Source organism: Homo sapiens, chromosome 6, assembly GCF_000001405.40.
Source record: "Homo sapiens chromosome 6, GRCh38.p14 Primary Assembly".
In the NCBI taxonomy this organism is placed as follows: Eukaryota; Metazoa; Chordata; class Mammalia; order Primates; family Hominidae; genus Homo; species Homo sapiens.
In genome coordinates this window covers 153,987,260-154,004,079 of record NC_000006.12, presented here as the reverse complement: position 1 = coordinate 154,004,079, position 16,820 = coordinate 153,987,260, and positions in this window count along the sequence as shown.

Below are 16,820 nucleotides of genomic sequence, written 5' to 3'. Positions count from 1 at the left end.
CAGTGAGGTTTGTACCTTCAGATGATTTGTTATTGATCATTGACATCCTGTTCTTTGAGACTGAAGCACTCCCTTTAGCATTTCTTGTAGGACAGGTCTGGTGCTGATAAAATCCTTCAGCTTTTGTTTGTCTGAGAAAGTCTTTATTTCTCTTTCATGTTTGAAGGATATTTTCACTGGATATCCTATTCTAGGGTAAAAGCTTTTTTTCCCTTCAGCATAATAAATATGTCATGACTCTCTCTCCTGGCCTGTAAGGATTCCACCTAAAAGTCTGCAGCTAGACATATTGAGCTCAATTGTATATTATTTGTTTCTTTTCTCTTACTGCTTCTAGGATCTTTTTTTTTTTTTTTTTGAGATGAAATCTCACTCTGTTGCCCAGGTTGGAGTGTAGTGGCATGATCTCAGCTCACTGCAGCCTCCATCTCCTGGGTTCAAACAATTCTCCTGCCTCAGCCTCCCAAGTAGCTGGGACTACTGGTACATGCCACCATGCCTGGCTAATTTTTGTATTTTTTAGTGGAGTCTGGGTTTCACCATGTTAACCAGGCTGGTTTTGAACTCCTGACCTCAAGTTATCCTCCCACCTTGACCTCTCAAAGTACTGGGATTATAGGCGTGAGCCCCCGCACCTGACCACCACTAGTACATTTTAAAATGTCATATTGTTGTATGTTATTTATCAAAATGAGCTTATTTTTTCTTGCTGCTGACCTTAAAATTTCTGTTTCAATTGCTGCCTTAAACTGAATGCATCTCAGCCCACTCTGAAACTTTGGGGGCCAACTAGCTCAGGAACAAATTTGGCAGGGGGCTGACGGTGGGGCTCGGCATGGGCCTGCAGGTGTCCCTCAGAATGAACAGTCTGGGTGGTGCAGATGGCATGTTGATGGCAGTAGGAGGCAGACAGGTTACTAGTTGGGAAGGGATGAGTCCCCAGTGAAACCTCACCTTCAAGCCAGGGATGGTCTAAAGCCTGGGGGCCGGGATGGCTGTTCCAAGTGGAGTCTGCGACCAGGAGTGAGAACTTCCTTGATGTCTTTTGGCCAGCTGGATGGTGCTTTTTTAAGGCCTGCCCACGGCCATCCATGGACCAGTCAGCATGTACTTCCTCCATTCTGAGCACATAATAACTGCAGACTCAGCCACTCCTTGGGATGATCTGCCTGTGGAGCTACCCACTTTGAGTCTCTCAAGAGCTGTTCTGTCTCTCAATAAAGCTCCTCTCCACCTTGCTCACCCTACAGTTGTCTGTGTAACCTCATACCTCATTCTTCATGGACATGGGACAGGAATTTGAGACCTGCCAAATGGCAGGAACAAAAGGAACTATAACATGTTCCTGGCTGGCTTGCTGAGCTGCAGGCAGTGACACACTCCTGGATTGTGGGTATGAAAAGTAGTGACCTTTTGGAAGCCCAGATCTTGGAGTTCCTGAAGCCAGAGCTGCTTTAACAGTATAGCTCTTCTGCCTTCCACTGGCTCCCAGTGGTCACCCTATGCAACAGGAAGCAGTGGTGGGGCTGGGCTAGTCCAGGAGCCACGGGCTGGAGTCGGGCAGTGGGACTGAAAGAGCTGTAACACAAATGGGCTAAAACTCGCCTCCCCAAAACATGCCCTCCCACCCTCGCTCCCCACGCTGTGGGTGGCAAGAAGGAAAGAAGACCTGTGGCCCTTCTGGGAGCCCAGACCTTGCAGCTCCCTGATCCTGGGCTGTGACAAGCTGTAACAACCTCTTTGGGGCTCTGTGTTCCTGGCATCTCTGAGCTTTTGGGCGCCACTGTGTTCCCTGGTGCCCATGGTGGAAGCTGCTTATGGTATGCCTGGTCCAGTTGCAGCCTTGCACAGAGCCAGTGCCTGTGCTGGCACCTGGAGCTGCCCACCCCACTGCAGCCAGTGTGCCTGGCCACGTGCCGTGGCTGGACCCTGCATTCACTCAGTCACACGCCCATCCCCACTCTGTGCCTGGCTCACTCTTGGCAGGCATGGGATCCGGGCCAGTACTGCGAGCTGAGAGCAACCTGCTGGGCCGAATGAGCAAGCATGATTACAGGCATGAGCCACTGTGCCTGGCCCGAGCCCAGTGGATGCAAGCAAAACCCAAGCAGAGGCACCACCTGTCACAGAAGTTTCTGGTCGGTGAAGCAACACTCTAAGGCTCCTATGACGATGCCTTTAAATATAACCTACATTCTAACAACTACCAACATTGTATTTATAATTCAAACTCCTTTTCTAAAATAGTTATTCAGCTTACTAGTTAGTGTCTCTATTTTGATAACTCCTAGCATCCCAAACCTAATGGGCCCAAGCTTAACATTTTGTTTCATCTCTAAAACTTTTTATCACTCAGTCTGTTCTCATTTAGTAAATGACATCATTGTTCACTTAGTTCCCCAAACCAGAATGCTCTTCCCCTGCTTTAAACTCTGCCATGGTCACTGCATTCAGGCCCTTGCGTTGTATGGCTTTTGCTCATCCTTCAAACTCATCTGGTTTTACTTTCTCCCTTGCTGTGCTTCAGCCACAAAGACTTTATCCCATTTCCTCTAACACACCAAGTTCTTCCTTAATATTTCAGCACAAACATACCCCTTCAACCTCTCTCCTTTGTGCTATTCCTGTGATGAATTCTTTTCACTTATTGGGTTAGTTCATATGTTGCTGTTGTAGATAGGACTCCCCTATGTTATCAAAATTGATGGACTTTTGACTCTCTAGCATAACCGCTTGTTAATTTCCTTCCTGGCATCTAATACAATTTGTATTTATTTATTTATTTATTTTTTTTTGAGATGGAGCCTAGCTCTGTTGCCCAGGCTGGAGTATAGCAGTACAATCTTAGCTCACTGCAACTTCCGCCTTCCAGGTCCAAGCGATTCTCCTGCCTCAGCATCCCTAGTAGCTGGGATTATAGGCGTATGCCACCACACCTGGGTAATTTTTCTGTTTTTAGTAGAGACAAGGTTTCACCATGTTGACCAGGCTGATCTCAAACTCCTGACCTCCAGTGATCCACCCACCTTGGCTTCCCAAAATCCTGGTATTACAGGCATGAGCCACCACCCACCCCCGGCCACAATTTGTATTTAAGTACATATTCATTTATTTACTTGTATTACTTATTTCCTACCATATTATGTACTTTTTAGTTCAGAGCCTAATTTTTGTCTCATGTATTATATGCTTAGTATCTCATTCAGTGTCTTGACATTGTAAGTATTCAATAAATACTTATTAAATAAATACATAAGTTAAATAGATTGGAAAATTGTTTTGAGACATAGTGTGTGCTAGTATCCCTTAGAGCAGAGCAAAATAAAGAACTATTACAGTTGTAGAGTTGTAGAGTCTGGAACATGGTTTATGAGCTCTCAGGTTTAAATTTATTAAAGCCTCTATGAACTTCAACCCATGTACAACATGAAGTCCATAAAGAAGCAGTAAAAAGAAAATACAACTGAACACTGTTTATCATCTTCACTTCCCTGAATCATTCCCAGAGTGATTCTTTATATTGTTCTCAATGCAGAAAAAGGAGTCCAAAACAAATGACAGCTATCCAGTCACTCAATTTTGTGAAGTGTTCTCCCTTTGATGTAGCTGATGGGAGAATTAATAATCCATAGCAGTTTAGAAAATAAGAGTAGTAGCAGACTCAGATGTCTTTAATGGAAGAAATTAATTCTTCCCTTTATTGTGTATGAAGTGAAAAAAAGTTAATAAAATATCAACTCTTACTATTCTTATTAGCTATCCAGCTTCTTGCACCAATAAACACATAGTTCAGCAAAATCAGGGAATCTGATGTCAAATTTGGATTCTTTTCCCATTTGGGATCAGTATTTTATAAATTTAAAAATGTAATTCTTGGACTTTTGCTTTCAGTGGAAATGGAGTTACAGAGACTCGATTTAACCTCTTGCCTGAGAAAATGATTTTCAATTTGTTGAACATCAGGAAACAAAGAACAGTGATGCCTGGGAAATGTGAAACACACAAGGTGAGCCTGAAAATTGCCTCAATTTCCTGCCTGAAGAAAGTTTTGAGGTTGCAACATGGGGAGGAAGAATCCAAACAGAACCTGGTGGTCTCCTGAATTGGGAAGAGAGAGCTGGGTGTCCCTGGAGGACAAGGTGGCTTGAGTTAAGTATGGCAGAATAGAAGAGAGTGCCGCATATAGACAGAACTGCATAGGTCCCCCTCAAAACTTCAGGTGTTTACTAATCAGTACACGCATGTGAGGAAATTATCTGAGGCCAGATGAAGAACAGCCTGAAAGTATTAAGAGCCAACTGTGCTTCCACTAGGATGGAGAATAGTTCTTTTTTCACCAGAGTAAAAAAAGAAATCTCCTAATTCATGGGCATCAAGAAAAGTACACAAATATCTTTTATCTCATTAGTGGGGAAAATTAACACTAAAATAAATGCTTCTCTGCTCCTCCCTAACCAAGCTTAAAAGCAAGACCTGTAAAAATCTCACTATTTCTAAGTAACTTATCTTCTGTTCCAGAAAAAAAGATTAAGAATATTTATAAAAATGCAAAAATATTTAGCATCCAGCAAGGTAAATTTCATAATGTTGGCTTATAATAATAACACATTAACAAATGTGATGGTTAATACTGAGTATCAGCTTGACTGGATTGAAGGATGCAAAGTATATTGATCCTGGATGTGTCTGTGAGGTGTTGCCAAAGGAGATTAACATTTGAATCAGTGGGCTGGGAAAGGCAGAGCCACCCTTAATCTGGGCAAGCACAATCTAATCAGCTATCAGGGTGGCTAGAATATAAAGCAGGCAGATAAAAACTGAAAAGGCTATACTGGCTTAGCCTCCCAGCCTACATCTTTCTCCGATGTGGGATGCTTCCTGCCCTTGAACATCAGACTCCAAGTTGTTCAGCTTTGGGACTCGGACTGGCTTCCTTGCTCCTCAGCTTCCAGATGGCCCATTGTGGGACCTTGTGATCATGTGAGTTAATATGTGTGTGTGTGTGTGTGTGTGTGTGTGTGTGTGTGTGTGTGTATCTCCTATTAGTTCTGTCCCTCTAGAGAACCCTAATACACAAAGTGTCCCAAAGAAGCAGGAAAATATGATCCATAATGAAGAAAAAAATCCATCAACCAAATCCAATCCCCAAATAATACACATAATAGAATTACTAGACAAGAATGTAACACAGTTATTTTCATTATAGTTCATATGTTTAGGAAGCTATGAAAGAGATGAGCATATTAAGTAGAGACATAGGAAAAATCTCTATATCAAACTTCCTGAAATGAAAACTACAATAATGGAGATAATAAATACACTGGATTAGATTAACAGCACATTAGACACGGCAAAAGAAAAATTTACAGATTTAGCAATAGAAATTCTTCAAAATAAAACACAGAGAGGAAAGGAATGAACAAAATGAAGATAACATCAAAGAGCTGTGGGAAAACTTTATGTAGCCTAATATATGTAAAATAGATTCTCCAAAGAAAAAAGGAATAAGAAAAAAAGATAAAATAACAAATAAGTTAAAAAGTAAGGTGGTTAAAAATATGCCATGCTAATAGTAATCAAAGGAAATCTGGAGCACCTATATTATGTTAGGTTCAGTGGATTTCAGAATAAATAATATTACCAGCAATAAAGAGAGGTTTTAAATGACATAAAGGGATGATTCATTAAGAATGCATAATTCCAAATATGTATGCATTTAATAGCAGCACCTAAAATACATCAAGCAAAAACTGAAGAACTAAAAGCACGCCAAGGAGAAATAGACAAATCCATAATGTGTGCTGAATATTTAAATACCCATTCTGAATATTGACAAACCAAGTAGACAGAAAACCAGTAAGGATATGGAAGATTTGACTAATACTCTCATGTAATTTGACCTAGTTGACATATATAGAACATTTCTTTGAACGAGACCAAACTGTCCATTTTTATAAGTGCACATGGAATATTTCATAAGGAAAACCATATCCTGGATCATAAAATGAGTCTCAGAAAAATTTAAAAGTTTCAACTCATAGAAAATATGTTCTTTGAGCAAAACAGAATTAAGGTACAAGGCAATAATAAAAAGAAATATCTCTGAGATAATCTTAGAGATCATCTAAATAATTTATGGGACAAAAAAGAATTTAAAAGCAAAATTAAAAAGTATGTTGAAGTGAATGAAAATGAAAACACAGCATATTAAAATTTGTGTGATGTAGCTAAAGCAATATGTAGAGGGAAATGCACAGCACTGAAGTCCTATGCTAGAAAAAATAGTGTCTCAGATTAACGACTTCAGCTTCTACTTTAAGACACTAAAAAAGAAGAGAAAATTAATTCCAAAGTAAGCAAAAGAAAGAACATAATACAGGTCAGAGAAGAAAACGATAAATAGAAAACAGGAAAATAATAGTGAAAATCAGGCTGATTTTCGAGAAGATAAATAAAATTGTGAAAACACCTTTCTTCCTCCTAAACCATCTACCTTTGTGGGTTTTTAAAAATATTAGATTAGAGGACGTTTTAACTACTCTGCACAGTGCCCTACAAAATATGATAGTTTCCCATCTGGTTAGTAGAAATAGGCAATATTTTTAGCTTGGGATGAGTGCCAGATACTGTTCCCTCTAATCGTGTCTGGGTGGTTCTTTTTCAAGCCTTTGATAGCTTCCTCTGCACTGTTCAGTATTATGCTGAATACTCAAGAGGCACCCTCTGCAGATTCCAGGGTTCTTTATCTGTGCAGCCCTCACCTCTCCAGTATTCTGCTTGGTGAGCTCTGGCTGCCTTGCTTTTCTTAGGCTCTTTGCTTCCTCTCTTCACAGCTCAGATGCTCTGCCTCGGTTTCCTCTTCCTGTGCTATGGCCTGGAAACTCAAGGCACTAAGCCAGGGCAACCGTAGACTCGCCTTGCTTCCTGTCTCTCAGGGATCACTGTTCTTTGTTGCTGGACATACAATGTCTTGAAGACTTTTGTTTTCTATATTTATTCCTTTTTTATTGTTTCAGTGAGGGTTAATGAAATATCTGTTATTCCATCTTGGCTAGAAAGAGAACCTTAAATCTCTTCTGTTTTTAAATCTATGTCTGTCATATTATGTCGTGTCTTCTCTTTGTATGTCTTTTCTGTGGCCCCATCCCATTTGTCTGGCCTTTAAAAAATCGTTTGAGTTTTTAATTGTCTCCTAAATTGAAATGGAATTTATACATCCTACATATTTTCTTTTTGTGCTTGCACTAGCAGTGGCAGTTAAAAAGTGTTTGATCAGTAAAGAATACTCATAGAACCTAGAATGACAATGATTACAAACCTATGGTTTTCTTCAGGAAAAGGATATTGTATAGCCACTTAGGAAAATTTAATACTGTAAGACAACAATTCACAAAGTGCTTTTGATATCCAATATTGGTTTGTAGCGATACGATACCAAAATAAACATTGAAATCAGTCAACGTAGTATTGAGAATGTGTTTAAAATACAAAACTATTACTGGGCTTTTCAAGTTTCACATTTCATGCTACTGTTGTGTAAATATTGCGTGTCACCTTGATTTGATCCAGAAATCACTTAAAGCAACTCATGATACATATAATAAATTGAGATTGTCAATGCTCTCTAGACAAAGACAATCAGAAATTTACCTGTAACAGAACAAGTTGGAATTGCTGCTTGTATCAACAAAGGCCACAGGAAACTGAGTCACCTCAGTAGAAGGGTTTAGAAAAAACTTTTTTTTTTTTTTACATAGAATTTGGGCTTGAGGTTAGTGATTTTTTGAAGAGTTAAGGAAGCAGGTTTTACTCTGGATTGGATACTCAGAGACTGGGGTTATTTCTATCTGGCTAAATCACATCCAGGAGGGAAGACTAGACTGAGGTTGAAATCAGCCACTCATCTTAGCTAGAACAGGGATGTGTTTAGACAGTTTTGTGGTTTGAACGACGTCAATAATTTTGTCTGTATCTGGACACAGTTTTGCAGTGGTCTTGTCTTTGGCTTAATCCATCATAGTCACACAGTTTCCCTGTCTGATATTGATGTTCTCTGAAATTATGTTACAGAGGAGAACATCAAGGCATAGCTCTAAGTGCCAGGCCACCTCCTGGCTGTCAAGGACAGCTTTTCTCTTTTCCAAGATAAATTAAAATGAAACCCCGCCTCTACTAAAAATACAAAAAATTAGCCGGGCGTGGTGGCGGGCGCCTGTAGTCCCAGCTACTCGGGAGGCTGAGGCAGGAGAATGGCGTGAACCCGGGAGGCGGAGCTTGCAGTGAGCCGAGATCGCGCCACTGCACTCCAGCCTGGGCGACAGAGCGAGACTCCGTCTCAAAAAAAAAAAAAAAAAAAAAAAAGAAACCAAGTAAGGGAGATCAAGGAGAAGTAAGGAATAGAAAAGTGTGTTAAAATCGAAAGAATGAGAAGTGTACAAAATTTGCACCATCATATTAGTCAGGGTTCTCCAGAGAAACAGAACCAATATATACAGAATATAGAGAGTATATAGAGAATATATAGAGAGTTGTTTTATGAAATTGGCTTTCTTCAATATGGAGACCATCTGGTCCCATATCATCAAGGTGGGCTGGCAGGTTGGAGATCAGGGAACAACCAATGTTTTAGTTCATCTTCTGACAGAATTCTCTCTTTCAGAGGAGGTCAACCTTTTGTTCTACTCAGGCCTCCACTGATTGGAGGATGCCTGCGCATGTTAAGGAAGGCAAGCTGTTTTACTCAAAGTCTAATTTAAACGTTAATCTTTTCCAAAATACCTTCACAGAAATATCCAGAATATTTGATCACATATCTGGGCGCTGTGGCTCAAGCCAGTTGATACAAAATTAACCTTCATAACCGTGAAATGTCATACACTTACTGGAAAAGGAACATAAGCAGTTATGTGTCTGATAGGGTCTGAAAACTAGTGGCTCTGGAGAAGTACAATCCTTCCTGGTACTGAGATCAGCGATATCTCTTTTTCCCTGGCTCTCATAAAATGGGTAGACAAGTCACTTGGCTGTTGAACAAAGTATCAGGCTGTGTCCAAAGCAACACATCTCTGGGTATGCTGCTTTGGAAGTGTGCCCTACTCTGTTCCTCTAACTTGTTATATTTAGTCAGATCACAACCTACTTTGAGGCTGAGGTTCTATAGGAGAGGTTGCTCTTGTCTGCAAGACAGCTTGCATTATCAGACTTCAGAAGCTAATGATGAAAAACTTGGGGCTGCTCTCTCTGATCTTTTATCTTAAGCACACGAGAATGTTTGTCTGCAGGATAAGGCAAGTTTTGAAGTATAATTGGTCCTTGAACAACGTGGGGATTGGGACACTGCCCCTACTCCCCCTACTGCTCCCTCACACACAGTCAAAAATCCATGTATAACTTTTGACTTCCCCAAAACTTAAACGACTAATAACCTCCTGTTGTGTGGAAGTCTTAATGATAACTTAAATAGTCAAATAGTACATATTTGTGTGTTACATGTATTATAGGCTGTATTCTTACAATAAAGTAAGCTAGAGAAAAGAAAATGTTATAAAGAAAATCATAAGGGAGAGAAAATACATTCATAGTGTTGTACTGTATTTATCCATATAGTAAGTTGATATCCGTTTACAAGATGATTCGTCTGTCTGAAATGGTGGGCAACCGTAGCTGCAGACGTCAATCTAGGGTATATATCGAGCAGTCCAGCTTTTTTTTTGTAATGCCATAATTTTTATCTGTTCCTCGGAAGCACTTCCAGCGGCACTGTGTGCACTTTTTATTCAAAGTTTATGGTATTGTGCTTAACATGATGAAAAATACAGGAGAACAGTGAGAGATCACTTTTCACTACTACATGCCAGTTACTGGAGACAGAAACTACTCAGCTGGAGATGATTAGCATGACAGGGCATTTTAAGTGGCTACTCACAACATTAAACTCACTGCAATAGCAAAAAAAAGATGGTTATAAAATGATTACCCTAGTACAGTTACTTTTATACAGTTATGATTTAATACTTCATCTTTACATTTGTTTACATTTATCTCAACTGCCAATGGTACCCTATGTGGTCTGTGTCTGTGTGTGAGTTTTGATGTATTTAACTTTTTGTAATAGACATATATATTTTATTATAGTACATGATAAAATACACTAGTATCATAACATACCAAACTTTTTCTTAATTTTTTTTGACATTTCTAGGCTATGTGGTTCATCTGTGAGGTTTTTCAGATTGTCCCAAACCTTCACAAATTTTCCCAATATATTTACGGAAAAAGTTGGCAAATAAGTGGAATCACGCAGTTGAAAGCTGTGCTGTTCAAGGCTTAACTGTGTGTTTTTTTGTAATCCAGATTGTGAGATTTTGAGCCAGATTGATAATATAATATTTAGATCAAATACATAGCTCAGAAACTCACTAAAAATTTATATATCTTATAATATCCCTCAACTATTTGCAGGGAATAACTGTTTCAATAACAATTGAGAAGCATTTATGCTTGGTTGTGATGTGAGGAGCAGTCTATGCCTAGGAGCAGTATAATTTTAGATCTTCCAATAAGGTCATAAACTTTTTAAAAAGCTTTTCACACATTCACCTTTACTTTTGTTTTGCATTTGTGGCTGAGTCTCTTGTTTTGTTCTCATATCACCTTGTATCTATTTTTCATTCCTTCAGCTACAATTCAAACTCCTTTTAGGCAGAAGTGCTGGCTTCTATTTATTTTGCAGTGGTGGCATGGCCTACAAAAGAGTTGCATAAATCGGGGGTGTGTGTCACTTACAGATATTGTTGAATGTACAAAAGGAGGAAGGAAAGTGTGAATATACTGATACATGAATAAATATCAGGTAGGGAGAAAGAGAAGTTCAACTTACCCTAGTCCATCTTGAAAAAAAAAAAAAAGGCTCTGTGAAGACTACATTTTGTATTCCTGTATCTCTGATTAGTGTTTACAATTATCTCTGGTTAGTGTTTACAATGACAAAAGCAAGTTCCAAAGGAGCACTTGGCACTGTAATTTTTATCCAGTAACTGAATTGATCAGACAGCACACTACAAGTATAAATTGATACATAGGTGATCAGACAGCACACTACAAGTATAAATTGATACATTTTGTCTTTCCTTTTTCAATAGTCTTGTATCTCTGAGTTTCTTCTCTCTCCTCTTTTATTATGAGAAAGTAACAAGAATATTGAGCAAATAATTAGAAGAGTTAGTTCTATGTTCTGGATCAACCACTTATTACATCTCTGACATTAGACAAGTCATTGTGATTAAAAGATTTGGGTTCTTAATCTAAAAACGAGGAAAATAATTCCCATTCTGCCTGTGATGCCATTGTCAAGAGATGTGATGAATATGATGGGCATTTATAGGCCATAAAGCTCGAAGAAGTGATTGAAATTCTATTTGTGAGTGTCTCAGTTCTGCAGGAACAATGGTAATTTCTAATCCTTTCATCTTGTACCTGTGACTTTGTTTAAATGTGAGATTCCTGTGGTTCTCCTGAGACTATAAATGTCAGATGCACTAAAGGATGGAGGCAATTATCCAGATAATTTAGAGCCAGAACACCATGTGTGGCGTTTCCAGAGAGTGAGAGTGAATAATATTAGACAGGCATCCAAGAGCAAGGCCATGTAGGATCTGGTAGGCCATGCTAAGGACTTTGAAATTTATCTTGAGTTAGATGGAAAGTCTTTGGGAGTGTTGATTGCAGAGGGTAACATGATGGGATTTCTGTTTGAAAGGATAACTCTGGAGAATGTGCAGCTAGCCTCCAAAGATGGGGCCCAATGGCCCATACTCTTCAGAAGTCATTTTTTGTGAAGTGCTCTCCCACCACCATGAGTCTGGGCTGGCCTTTGACATATGTTAATGAATAAGTGTGACAGAAGAGACGTAGTACTAGTTACAGATCTAGCATTTATGAGGACTGTCCACTTCTGCTTCCTCTTTCTTGAACCACTCACTTTGGGAGTCTTTAGCTACCATGGGAGAAGCCTGGTTACTCTGCTGAAAAACTACATGGAGAGAACAGGCCTTGAGAGGACAGGCCCTGAGGCTTCACAAAGAGAGGGAGGTCCAGCTTTCTCATTGTCCAAGTAACGAACTCTCTACCTCCAACTGTGTTAAAGACACCAAGTGAAACCAGCTAAATAATCAGTCAACCAAGCCCTGTCAACACAAGGAAATATGAAAAACAATAAAATTGTTGTTTTCAAGTTACTGTGCTCTAATAAAGTTTGTCACATTGCAATAGATAACCAGAATATGGATGTAGAAAGGCAAAAGAAGAAACAGAGAGACGACTTAAAGGCTTATTCAGTTTCCAGGTGAAAGATAATGACGACTGAGTTCTAGAGGTAAGAAGTTGAAGTTAGAGATGACACAGTTTGTTGATGGATTGCTGGTGGGGTCTGGGATAAAGATGAGAATCAAAGGTTATTCTATGTTTGTTGGCTGGAGAAATTAGGATAACAGTGCTATCACTTAGAGTTATCTTTTCCATATTGTCAACATAAAAAGAATTATATTGGCTGGGTGCAGTGGCTCACGCCTGTAATCCCAGCACTTTGGGAGGCTGAGGCAGGCAGATTGCCTGAGGTCAGGAGTTCGTGACCAGTCTGGCCAGCATGGTGAAACCCCGTCTCTACTAAAAATACAAAAAAAACTAGCTGGGTATGGTGGTGTGCACCTGTAATCCCAGCTACTCAGGAGGCTGAGGCAGGGGAATTGCTTGAACCAGGGAGGTGGAGGTTGCAGTGAGCCGAGATCACACCACTGCACTCAAGCCTTGGCGACAGAGCAGGGCAGAGAAGGGCAAACAGAGGTTTAGCCATATGACTATTAGATATTTGATAGATACTAGAGGGCATGTCAGAGCTGAGGTCTAGTTATTTAATTTATGAATGATATTAACACATGGTCCTGTATGAGATCACCTGGAGACGAACTGTAGTTAGAGAATAGACATGGTCCAAGATGGAGCCCTGGAGTATGCCAATATTTAGAAATCTGGAACATGCATAGCATCCAAAAAAAAGGTGGAGACTGAGAAGAAACGGTCAGTGAAAGCGAAAGATAATCAGAAAAGTATGTTGTCCCCAAATCCAAGTGAAATGTGTTTGAAGGAAGAAAGTGTGAACAGTTGGGTTAAATACTGCTGAGAGATCACATAAGAAGAGGGCTAACCATGACTATTGGATGTGACAATATGAATGTCGTTATTGACCAAGAACAAGACTAGCTTCAGTGGAGTGGTGGGGATAAATGCTTGAACTGATGAGTTCAAGAGAGAGTGGGTGATTAAAAATCATGGCAGCAATGAGGATAAAAATCATTTTATTTTATTTTTGCTATGAAAGGGAGCAAGAAGTGTGTGCAAAGCTGGTGGTATGGGGGTTGCAAGAGGATTTTTTAAAGATGGGAATTGTCACATGATTGCTATGTCATTAGAATGCTCTAGTGAACAGAGAGAACTTGATCCCAGGGGAGATGACATAGGTAATTTCAGGAGCAAGTTTCTGAGTAGGTAAGCAAGGCTGGGATCCAGGACACAGGTGGAGGAATTGACTTCATCTAGGAGAAAGGCTGTTCCTCCATAATACAGGAGGGTTGTGGTATACATGAGCACAGATGCTTGATCTTGGTGGACTTGGTGGACTAGGAGGAGGAGGATGTCTTCCGAGTGCTTCTGTTTTTGCTGCTAGAAATTTGGAGAGGAGATGTTGGAGTATTGAAGAGAAAAAAATATTGTGAAATAGTCATCTGAGTAGAGTGAATGGACTAGGCATTCAGAAGCATACTTGAAGTTCTGAGTTTCTGTTTCTCCACAGAAGAGTGATTTCATCTTGATCCCCTGTACTGTTGCTACATGGTCTGCTGTTTTGTCCAAAGGTCATGTTGAAATTGTTCTGAACTGATGTTGCCATAGAGCTCACACACACAGGCTTAGTGAATTGCCCCAAATTTCATGTCTGTTGGGGATTCAGGATTGGTGTACCACTCTATGAGACATTGATCAGGACATTTTATTAGACTCTATATAGGCAGAAGGTTGAAGGATCTTTGCCAGTTACTGTGAAAATTTTAGCAGCATTACCATAGAGAGTATTGCAAAAACTATGATTCCATGCAGGAGACAGAAAATGCATTTGCTCTGTTTATGTCTGCTGAGTGTTGAAGCCATTCAGCTGGCCTCGGGGTGGTTCCTTGTGCCTCAGGTGACTATGAATTATTATCATGGTGTTATTCTCTCTTGCTGCTTCAGCATTCTTGATAACATATTTTCATCCATCAACAAGGGTTGCTTTTTTTCCCCTTGGTTATTTTTTTTCCTTGTTTTTTTCTATTCTTTATGTATCAAAGAATAACCATAGAAACATAAGAAAGCCTTAAATTGCTGAATAGCATGAGTTTCGAATAGTGTTCAGAAAAACCTGGAGTATTATCTTTCTGTCTTCCCTAGGAACAATTTACACACACACACACACACACACACACACACACACATGCCTCGTGAATCTAACAGCCACTGATTTTTTAAAAGACAAAAATTCAATTATTCAAATGGTAAGTTTACAAAACATTTCCAGCAGAACCTGTCTAAGCTTGAAAATACACTGGTTACTGTAGATTTTTTAATAACTAGAACTACCTAGCACTATGGAAGAAATAAATGGAGACAGTCTAGTGATAGAACCCCTGGGTAAGTAAGAGGGTGATATGATTTGCCTTTCCCAGTGCCAAAAAGAAAAATCATGACGATCTATTTTTGAACCACAAGTTAGGTTAAACCATGGTTGTATGAAAACAAAGTCTTACTGGCTAGAACAATTAAGTATTGATGTGTCAGGAAACGCATTGATACAAAGAATATCATTATAAAAGATAAGTTTTTAGCTGGGTGCAGTAGCTTACACCTGTAATTCTAATGAATTGGGAGACTGAATGGAGAGGATCACTTGGGGCCAGTAGTTCATGACCAGCTTGGGCAACATAGTGAGATCCCCATCTCTCAAAAAATTGAAAAATTAGCCAGGCTTGGTGGCACACACCTGTAGCCTCAGCTACTTGGAAGGCTGTGGTGTGAGGACCACTGGAAACCAGGAATTTGAGGCTGCAGTGAGCTATGATCACATTACTACACTCCAACCTGGGTGACAGGGCTAGAGCCTGTCTTTAAAAAAGATAAAATTTTGGTGCTAGTTCAGAAATGCTCTCAGTGCTCTGATGTTAAATAAAACCCTTTGGCCAATTTCAGAATGTCATTTTCTGGCACTTCAGTATATTTGCAATTTTAGACCAAATGCAGGACTTTTCACTTGGGGATAAAAACTTCTGGCTTTGAGTCTCTGAATTGTCTAATGGAACAAGCAGTAGAAGCGTTCAGAAGCGATAATGGGCAGACGACTTAAACATGCTCTTTAGCGTCCTCAGCTTCTCTAGGGAATAAATATTTCATTCTGTGGAACGAGAATCAGCTTTTGAAGTAACAGTGATAACACCAGAATTTTTTCAGCTCTATGACTCTAGAGACACTACCTAGTCTAAATAATTGAACTTTTGAAAATGAGGCTAGTGAGTGTTCATAATGCTGAGGTTTAGATTTAGATGAATGCCTGACAGGAAATTACTTGGGCCGGTAATAAATGGGTGTGGTGGGGCATAGCAAATGCCAATTTTTCTGAGGACCCTTGACTAAGATAGCAGAGAGAGTGTACGTTCTGGCCCCTGTCCCTAAAGCCTGGAAGGTACCTAAGGATGCTTGCTACACAGAATATAATAGGGATAATTCAAGCTTGTGATATAAACATTGAGGATTAGAATTGTAACTACAGCTGGATTAAGCAATGTTAAAGACCCTTGGTTTTCATTCTTATCTGTAAAGTGAAGCCACATGATATCAGCTTGCATTTTAATTGTCTTAGCATGTTTGATCTTTCCTATAATTGAAATATAAAACGATGTAATTTTGGGTATTTTTCTGACCAACCGATCCTAGGGATAAAGGACGGACTCTGGCACTTTACTAACAGCCAAGCTTTCTTTGTGTTAGGATCACATTCAAGAACGTTTTGAGCTTGGAAGCAGAGCAGGAAGAAGGCTGTTAGAATAAACAACTGCTAGTAAAGGGTCAAAGCAATGCTTGTAATAAGGGGAAAGTATTTTTTCTCTTTCGTATACAAATATGTGTTTTTTAAAGAAGATATGGTGAGTCTGATTCTAATTCCATTCTGTCTGCAACAGGAAATAAACAAAAATATATAATTTTAAAAACTAAAATGATTTAATTTATACAGAACCAAAAAGCCTACAGTTACTAAATAGTGGTGCTGGCAATAATAATACCCCTTATTTGAGGCGTTTACATAAGCAATATCTAGAAGACAGAGGCACTAACATAATTCTAATCTTAAGGTCCATGGGAAATATTTTATAGAGAAAAAAAAAAAACAATAACAACAAACTTACTTCTAGCAAAAATGCCATTTTTAGATGATTCAATAAATTCAGCTCCTCAAATGCTCCCTTCTCTCCCATAAATAGTTGTATGAAGGGTAAATAATTAAACATAAAGCAAAAATACAGCAGCAGTGGGCCTATAGGCAGTTGGGTACAAGTAAGGTTTTGGGCTTTCTTGGGGTCTAGGCAGAGAGAACAGTGCAGAGCTTTTGCTGCTTTTCTTGGAGTTCTTGGATGAATTCTGGGAAGCAGCGGACTGGGAAGAGCTTTCCACCCACTGAGTGTGTTGAGTCTCCCTGATCATCCAGAGAGTAGGCAGGAACTGAGGTGGACTAAGTGATTTCT